At 39.8% G+C, this 10,535-nt stretch overlaps 1 pseudogene; it reads left to right on the forward strand.

Annotated features, from left to right (window-relative positions):
• CYCSP49 (CYCS pseudogene 49) lies at positions 7,834-8,839 on the forward strand (annotated as a pseudogene).

The following is a 10,535-nucleotide window of genomic DNA, read 5'->3' on the forward strand; positions in this document are numbered from 1 at the left end:
ACACATAATGTTCTGTCTGGATTTTTCCTACAGCCAAGAGGGAATTTATTTGAGCATATGCAGAATTTGAGTGACTTCAATCATGAGTTTCTAAAAAATAGCAAACAGAACAGAAACTGGGAGATGACACATGTAGCAACACAATAGTAGAGTTTTGCAGTATAGTTGTGGTAGAAACAAAGAAAGCTTAGGCCAAGTTAGAACTGTTAGGGATTAAGAAACTAAAGAGTGTATGAGGCCCTGGTGACTCTTTTCCTTTTTTTACTGTGACAATGAGGAAAACGAAAGAGCAAATGTATACTGGGATGTAGATGGTGGCTTCCTAAGCTTGTTCATGGGTCAAATAGCTGATTTCTTTTTGTACCCTAGCTTCCCTGGACTACAGCTCAGGCCCCAACTAAAAGCATGTTAAGTGATAGGCTTTTGGAGTTACTTGATAATAACCTCATCCAATGTGGTCCTCTGACTAGAAACCTCAGCATCACTTGACAGCTTGCTAGAAATATAAGAAGAAAAATACCTTAGGCCCCACCCTGGACCCACTGAATCAGTATCTCCGGGACCCAGCAATCTGCAGCTTAACAAGCTTTTCCAGGTGGCTCTTATTGATTTGTGCCCAAATCAGAGAAACACTAGTCCAGACCATCAGTTCTCTGCTTCGGTGGTTCTGATGGTAGGAGAGATACCAGCTAGCACACTTTGGAAGTATCTCAATCTGTTGCCTCCCTGATGTGCAGTAGCAGCTGTAGTGAACATCTGTTACTCATGGGAATAACAAAGATGAACAAGAATAATCGATTTGTTTTGATGTGGAAAAATTAAAAAGCTAGTCTTAAATCCCAAAATTAAATTTACAAATGCTAAGAGTCTATTGTATCACTATTTCTCTAGACAAGAATTTCTCAGCCTCAGCATTACTGACATTTTGGGCCAGATCATTGCCATAAGAGGGTGGTGAGCAGTTATATTAATTGTAGGGTGTTTAGCAAAATTCCTGGCCTCTATTCACTAGTTGTAAGTAACACACAGACACGCACACACACGCACGCCAGTTGTGAAAACCTAAATGACTCCAGACATTGCCAAATATCCCCCAGGTAGGTGATTGGGGAGAGGAGGGAAAATTGCCTCTGGTTAACAACTGCTGCTCTAGATATAGTTTATATTGATAAAATTCGTTTCTGAAGCAAAAATTGATCTTTTAAATTTATCGTTAGATGGACACATTTTGATCGACTTCTACGACTTATTATTCTGGTAAGAATTTTTCATCTGTTTCATCAAAAAAGACAACTTGAAAAGCTGATAAGAAGGCTGGTAAGTGGGCAAAACATGCTTATGATTCAGAAAAATATTTTGTGTTTTGGAACCCATTGGCAAGGGTTGATATCTATACTGTGTAATGTTTTCTATTTTTATGTTGATGAATGTTTCACAAACTAATGGTGATTTTAAACTCTCAGGTTTCAGAAAACAAAAGGCGATAAACAAGGGATGGATTTGACCTAGACCTCACTTACATTACAGTTTTGTGACACTTAACTGTTGATTTACTTGTATTACTTCACTTTTTCTTGTAATTGTATTTTTTTTGCCTCATCTAAGACATATTCATTCAAAATTCTTTATTCATGAGGATATATGCTACTGTGATAATGTGACATATTTGTGGTTTAGCCCTGGCAATGGAAGATCTGCATGTCTTCTCAATTCAGGACTACTCATTTGCAGCATAGGAACTTGAATGGATTTTCAGCTGACTCCATTTGAGTTTCAATTTATTAACCTCTAGTAGTTATTTCTGAGTCCCAAGGATCCCACAGAGACCTCTTCTCATCCTAGAACCCCAGAGAATGAGGTCGGTGCTTTGTAGATCTCAGGTTTTCTGAGTCAGAGGGCTGCAAAGCACTTTGGGAGTTCCCACCATCACTGGTGCCCAGAAATCTTGGATTTTCTCTGGTATTTAAGATAAGAAATAAATTCTAAGAATGGGGAACTTCAGACTGAGGCCATCATAAATACAAGGCATACAGTTAGAACCAGTGGAGACTTAAGAACTCCATGCCAGTTTAATGGTCATTGTGTTGGGTAATTTAATATGTTATTTGATTATCCTGAGTATTAGCTGTTTTCTGTCAACCTCAATCTTAAAAGGTTTTTTCCAGTGAAAATGGAGTCTGATAATGTATAAATTAATTTTTTGTATGTTATATGAAATCTATAACAATGTTTGTAATAGTGATGATTTTGACTTTCAGAATGTATTATTGCTATGTCATTTCCATCTTTTGGAAGGCAGTCTTTCTATAGAAATCCAGTCGAGGTAAGGGTCTTTATCTGACAAATACTCATTTCTTAGGGAATGTAGACTGTGTAGTCATAAGTTTAATATTGACCCAGATATGGCAGTATTCTTTTAAAAATGTACTCTTTCAAGTAAAAAAATCATAATGGATTGATACCAGTTACAATTGTGCCAGTGGTTACAAACCACCCCAAAACTTACTGGCTTATAACAGCAACTATTTATTTGGCTCATGATACTGTGATTTGTGAATTTGGTATGGGCTTAACTGTCCAATTTGGGTGCTTGCAGAAAGGATTTCCTGCCTCAACTAAGCTCATTCATGTATCTGTGGGCAGCTACTGGGTCATCTGAGGACTGGCTAGTCTAAAATGACTTGGCTACCCTCAACTGACAGAGCCACTGCATGCTACATGCACCCCCCAAGGCCCAAGGCCCATCCCATCGGGCACCCACTGCTGCCAACAGTCCCACCCCCTTCACCAGCAGAGCTACCATATGCCGCATGCATTTCTAAGGCACTGAGGACTGGCCTGCCTGGTGCCCGCCCTGCTGTTGGCAATACCCCACAACTAGCAAAGCCACTGCAGCTAGCATGTGTATGCCTAAGGCCTGAGAACTAATCTGAATGATAGCTCTCACACCAAGAAAAGCCATACCACTGTCTCCACAAACACTCACCATCAGGCCACTGAGGCACTCACAGACACCACTGAACGCTGATAACAGCCAAAAACGTCACCTGAAGACTGTATTACTGCACCCACCCAGAACCAAAGTCAAAGCACCCTACTCAGTGAACACTATAGGAGACAACTATTGGAAAAAGTATTTCTCTATGAAAGTCCCTAACATTGGAAGAGGCAACTGTTCCCCCAGATGTACAAAAATCAGTTTAGGGCCACAAGAAACATGAAAAGCAAGGAAACATTACACCTCCAAAGAAACACAATAATTCCCCATTAACAGACCCTAAATTTAAAGAGTATATCAAATGGCTAAGAAGGAATTCAAAATAATGATCTTAAGGAAACTATGAGATACAGAGAATACAGATAGACAAATCAATAAAATTAGAAAAACAATTTATGATCTTATGAGAAATTCAACAAGGATATATATGTCAATAAAAGCCAGACAGAGATTGTGGAGCTGAAGAATTTAAGTAATAAAATACAAATACAATCAAGAGTCCAGGTGAAGTGGTTCACACCTGTTATCCCAGCACTTTGGGAGGCCAAGGCAGTGGATCACTTGATGCCAGGTGTTCAAGACAAGCCTGATTAACATGGCAAAATCCTGTCTCTAAAAAATACAAAAATTAATTGGGTTTGGTGGTGCATGCCTTCCATCCAAGCTACTTGGGAGGCTGAGACACAAGAATTTCTTGAATCCAGGAGGTGGAGGTTGCAGTGAGCCAAGATTGTGCCACTGCACTCCAGCCTGGGTGGCAGAGTGATACCCTGTCTCAAAAAAAAAAAAAAAATACAATCAAGAGCTTTAAAAACAGACATGGGAGAGATATGGCCAAAATCTAGGAAGCTCAAAGGTTCTCAAATAGATTCAACCCAAAGAGGTCTTCTCTGAGGTGCATAGTAGTCAAAATGTCAAAAGTCAAAAAGAGGGAATATTCATCAGGTTTGGTGGCTCACACTTGTAATCCCACCACTTTGGGAGGCTGAGGCGGGTGGATCACTTGAGGCCAGGAGTTCAAGGTGAGCATGGCCAACATGAAGAAACCGCATTTCTACTAATAATACAAAAAAATTAGCTGGGTGTGATGGTGTGAACCTGTAGTTCCAGTTACTTGGGAGGCTGAATCACGAGAATTGCTTAAACCCTGGAGGTGGAGTTTGCAGTGGGCCAAGATCACACCACTGCACTACTGCCTGAGTGACAGAGTGAGACTGTATCCAAAAAAATAAAAAAAAAAAAAGGAAATGTTAAAAACAGCAAGAAAAAAGCATCAAGTCACATATAAGGGAAACTCCATTTGATTAGCAGTGGATTTCCCAGTGGAAACTTTACAGGTCAGTAGACAATAAGATGGGATGATATATTCAAAGTACTGAAGGAAAAAAAAACTGTCAGCCAAGAATACTATACCTAGTAGAGCTATCCACTAGATATGAGGGAGAAATAAAGTATTTCCTAGATGAGCAAAAACTGAAGGAATTCATTCCCACTAGACTGACGTTAAAGGGACTGCTTAAGGTGGTTCTACATCTGGAAGCAAGAGGATGATTACCATTGTCAAAACACACAAAAGTGTAAAACTCACTGGTAGTGCAGATATACACAGGAGAAAGAGAAAGGAATCAAACTTTGTCACTACAGAAAATGAGCAAACCACGAAGATTAAAAAAAAAAATAGATGAAGAAAAGAACAAAGGATATACAAAACAACCAGAAAAAAATGAACAAAATGACAGGATAAAGCCTCATATATTAATAGTAACCTTGAATGTAATGTAAACAGATCAAATTCCCAATTAAAAGATATAGAATTGGCAGCCAAGATTTAAAAAAAAAAAAAAAAAAAGACCCAACTGTATGCTGCCTACAAGAAACTAACTTCACCTGTAAAGGTTCATACAGACTGGAAGTGAAGGGATAGAAGAAAATACTCCAGGCAAACAGAAACCAAAAGCAAGCAGAGGTAGCCGTACTTATCAGGTAAAAACAGACTTTAAGTCAAACTGTATGAAGAGACAAAGAAGGTCATTTTATAATAATAAAGAGACCAACTTAGCAATAAGATATAATAATTGTAAATATATATGTACCCAACACTAGAGCACTCAGATTAACAAGGCAAATACTTTTAAGTCTAAAGGGAAAGATAGACTCCAATGCAGTAACAGTTGGGGCCTTTAACACCCCACTCTTACCACTGGACAGATCATCTAGACAGAAAATCAACAAGGAAATATCAGATTTAAGCTTACAGATAGGAATAAGTTCTGGTGTTCTGTAGTGCTGTAGGGTGACTACAGTTAACAATAATTTATTGTATATTTTTAAATAGAGAGGATGTTGAGTGTTCCCAACACAAAGAATGATAAATATTTGAGGTGATAGATATGCTGATTATCCTGATTTGATCATTACACATTGTATACAAGTATTGAGATATCCCTCTCTACCTTATAAATATGAACAAGTATTATGTGTCAATTAAAAATATTTTTAAAGAATGAAGGAAACAGATTTTTTAAATGAAAGGAAAGAAAATTACCTGACTTGGCTGAATGGCCCCATGTGGTCTCTCATTCTCCAGTAGGCTACTTCAGGCCTGTTCACATGATGGCAGAGGCAAGAGTCCCAGGAGCGGCAACAAAACAATGCAAATCCTCTTCAGGCTCAGGCTCAAAATTATATATTAATTCTACCCCATTTTATTGGACAATGCAAATTACACTACCAGTCTGGATTCAAGGAGTAGAAAATAAACTCCAACTCTTGATGGAAGGAATTATAAAGAATTGTGGCCGTTTTTGATAGTCTACCATAGGGGAGAAAGATGGGGATGCTATAACCCAAAATGTGTATTCTTAGGTTGAGATCCTAAATTATAGTCAGGGCATACGAGAGGTGGAAGGAGTACCTCTTTGCAGTGTGTTAGCTCAGTTCTGAACAGGACAGGGCTGCAAGTTCAGCTACTTCCCAGAAAATGTGCTGGTTCCCTGGCCTGAGTCATCATCCCATGACTAGAGAATGTGGATGGATTATTTTATCAAGAAACTGGTGATAAACCAAGGGCTATAGGAATTAAGAACTAGGGCTAAAAAAGAAATGTTTAGAGTGATGCAAGATGACCAATTAGAAGCAGCTGCAGTCTGCAGTGCTCACAAAGAAGAATGAAAAGGGGCAAGGGAATTCAGCACCTTCAACTGAGATAACCAGGTTCTCACATTGGGACTGACTAGATGAACAGGTCGACCAATGGAGAATGAAGACAAGCAGGCAGAGAGTGCGACAGCCCAGCCGGGGGCAGCATGGAGCCAAAGGAACCCCCACTGCCAGCCAAGGGAAGCGGTGAGTGAGTGTGCAGTCCTGCCCGGGAAACCGTGCTTCTCTCATGGATCTTTGCAAGCCATGGATCAAGAGATCCCCTTGTGAACCCATGCCACCAGGGCTGTGGGTCTGATACACAGACCTGTATTGAGTCTGGGCACATCAGCTGCTCAGGCACACACAGAAACCCAGGAGTTTTACACTCTCTAGCCCCGGGGATCTTCAGCACAGTGGGAAATCTGTCCATACGTATCTCTGGGAAGGGGGCTGAATCCAGGGAGCCAGGCAGCATCATTCTGCAGGATCCATTTCCTTGGCACCTCACAAGTTAAGACCCACTGGCTTGGAATCCTAGCCTGCCAACAGCAGCAGGTTGGAATCCACCTCAGATGGGTCTGTGTTCCTGGGGAGGTGGGGAGAGGCAGCCAGCATCACTGTGGTTCATATACTCAGCCACTCCAGCCTGCCAGCTATGGAGAATACAGACAATCTGGACAAGGAAGAGTTCCCCACAACACAGCACAGCTGGCTTGCCAGATCATGACCAGACTGCTTCTTTAAGCAGGACCCCAATCCATTCCTCCTCACTGGGCAGAAATCCCTGCGGGGGCTTTAACCACTCCAGCAACGGTTCTATGGACAGAGCTTTGATCTCGCCCTGAAATGGAGCTCCTGGCGGGAGGGGCAGCTGCCACCTCTGCAGTTTGGGCAACTCAGCCACTCCAACCTGATGGCTTTGGAGAATACAGGTGGTCCAGAGGAGGAAGGATCCCCCACAATGCAGCACACCTGCTCTACCCCAAAGCAGCCAGACTGCTTCTTTGGATGGGTCCGTGATCCCATCCCTCCTGACTGGGTGAGAATGCCCAACAAGGGTCTCTAGCCACCTCCTGCAGGTATGTGCGGGCTGGCTACAGTTCAGTATCCCCCTGGGATGGAGCTTCCAAAGGAAGGAGCTGGCTGCCATCTTTGCTGTTTCTCAGGCTTCACTGGCAATATCTCATTCAGAGTCTATGAGGAACTTAAATTTATAAGAAAAAAAACAACCCCATTAAAAAGTGGGCAAAGGATCTGAACAGACACTTCCCAAAAGAGACATGCATGCAGTCAACAAAAATATGAAATAAAAGCTCAACATTACTGATCATTAAAGAAATGCAAACCACAATGAGATACCATCTCATGCCAGTCAGAATGGCTACTATTAAAAAGCCAAAAAATAACAGATGCTGTGAAGGTTGCAGAGAAAAAGAAATGCTGTTGGTGGGTGTGTAAATTAGTTCAACCCATGTGGAAGACTGTGGCAATTCCTCAAAGACCTAGAGGCAGAAATATCATCAGACCCAGCAATCCCATTATGGGGTATATACCCAAAGGAATATAAATCATTGTCTTATAAAAATACATGCATGCACACATATGTTCATTACAGCAGTATTCACAATAGCAAAGACATGGAATCAACCTAAATGCCAGTCGATGATAGATTGGATAAAGAAAATATGGTACATAGAGTGGGACATCGGGCTTCTGAGCGGGAACCTTTGTAGTGCCAGTGATGAAAGAGAGAATTAAATATGGCTGATTCTGAGAAAGGCAAGAAAATTTTTCTTCAGATGTGTGCCCAGTGCCACACTGTGGAAAAGGGAAGCAAGCACAAGACTGGGCCTAAACTCCATGGTCTCTTCAGGTGGAGGACATGTCAGTCCATTGGATTATCTTAACATAGAGATTGATAAGAACAAAGCCATCACCTGGGGAGAGGATACACTGATAGAGTATTTTGAGAATTCCAGGAAGTACATTCCTGGAACAAAAATGATCTTTGCCAGCATTAAGAACAATGCAGAAAGGGCAGACTTGATAGCTTATCTCAAAAAAGCTACTAGTGAGTAATAATTGGCCACTGCCTTATACCTTATATTACAAAACGGAAATGTCTCATGACTTTTTTATGTGTACCATAATTTAATAGATCTCATACACCAGAATTCAGATTATGAATGACTCTCAGAATATTTTGTTGGGCAGTCCTGATTTAAAACTAATACTAGCTTGTGGTTAAATGAATAAGTTTGGTTTTTGAATATTAATAGTAATTCCAATTCAGTGAATGCTATCACTGTTTACTCCTTCTAAATATATGATTAGACTTTGTTAATAATGTTCAACTTTTCACAAAGATGGTGAGTACCATCTTAAAACTTAATGAAGATTGGTTTTATATTTATATTTATATTGGTTTATATTTGGATTTATGACTGGTTATGTGAATATATTTAAATACTGGGGAAATTCCTTCACTGTCTCAGAACCAAGCAAGATTCACCTGTGTTTTGTGTTTATTTGCCACTTAAAGGCAAGGGTTGAAGATAAGGTAGCAATGTCTACTTTGTATTTTTGGCCTTAACTATGCCATTGTAATTAGAATTCCCTGTATTTAAGATGGTTCCTTTTACTTATTCAAAGGCATTTTGTGTGGTTTATGTGTAATATCAAATAAAGATTACTTAACACTTAAAACAACAACAACAAAAAAAGGAAATGTGGTACATAAATACCACGGAAAACTGTGCAGCCATAAAAAGGAACAGGATTACATCCTTTGCAGGGATATTGATGGAGCTGGAAGCTGATATCCTCAGCAAACTAACACAGGAACAGAAAACCAAACACCGCATGTTCTCACTTATATGTGGGAGCTGACAATGAGAACACATGGGCACATGATGGGGAACAACACACACTGGGGCCTGTTGGGAGGGAGGGGATGGGGAAGGAGAGCATCAGAAAGAATAGCTAATGGATGCTGGGCTTAATACCTAGGGATGGGATGATCTATGCAGCAAACCACTATGGCACACATTTACCTGTGTAACACACCTGCACATCCTCCACATGTACCCCTGAACCTAAAATAAAAGTTGAAGTAAATTATTTGTATATACATGTGCCCCGATGTAGGTAAACATTATATATGCATGCATCTATAACCACATTTTTGCTGAGGTATAACACATATGGTAGGTTGCACTAATCAAGTATATATCTTGATGATATTATACCTAAGTATATATGCATGTAACCAACACCTCTATCAATATATTGGTCTATGACTGACCTCCAATTAATTGTTGTAAAGATATAAAGTATCAAGTTTCATGTTTTTCACATAGCTCTCAATTTCTCCTGTACCATTTATTGTAAAGAGCATGATTTCCCCCAATGAATTGCAGAGGTGGGTTTATTGCAAATAAAGTGAACATATCTGTATAGGTCTGTTTCTGGGCTTTTTGTCCTTTCATTATGACTGCCTATACTTAAGTCCAGGCCATAGTTTTAATTATTATGGCTTTATAGTGACTCTTGAGAACTTGTGTGTAAGTCCTCCAACTTTGTACTTCTTTGTTTAAAAACTATCTTGGCTCTCCTAGATTTTTTGAATTTCCATATAAATTTTAGAATCATCTTGGCAATTTACATACACACACACACACTCAAACCCACACAAACACACCCCCACACCCCGTCAGTATTTTGACTTGGGCATTGACTACATAGCTTAATTTGGAGAGAATTGACATCTAAAAATATTGAGCTTTCCAACTCATGAACATAATAGATCTCTCTACTGATGTCTTCTTTGATTTCTTTTAGCAATGTTTGTAGTGTACAGGTTTTGCACCTTTTGTTAGTTTTATCTCTATGTAGTTGATAAGTTTTTATGCTATTTTAAATGATATTTGAAGATCTTCATTTTCTAAATATTTGCTATTGGTATGTAGGAACATAACTAATTTTTGTATATTGACTTTTGTTTATTTGTTTATCTAAAGACAGGGCCTTGCTCTGTCACCACAGGCTGGAGTGCAGTGGCACCTGAGCTCAAGCATTTCTCCCACCTCAGTCTCCCACATAGCTGGGACTACAAGCAGGCATCACCACACTTGGCTAATTTTTTAAATTAATTTTTGTAGAGAAGGAGTCTCTCTGGTCTCACTGACCCAAGCGGGTCTTGAACTCCTGGATTCAAGCAACCCTCCCACCTCAGCCTCCCAAAGTGCTGTGATTACAGGTGTGAACCACCACACCTGGCCTTGTATGTTGACTTTACATCTAGCATCCTTCATAAATTCACATATTAATTTTAATAATGAATGTGTAGATTCCCTGGGATTTTTTAAATGTATGCAATCATATAAAGTTACTACTT

The sequence above is a fragment of the Homo sapiens genome, chromosome Y, assembly GCF_000001405.40.
Source record: "Homo sapiens chromosome Y, GRCh38.p14 Primary Assembly".
NCBI classification, from domain to species: domain Eukaryota; kingdom Metazoa; phylum Chordata; class Mammalia; order Primates; family Hominidae; genus Homo; species Homo sapiens.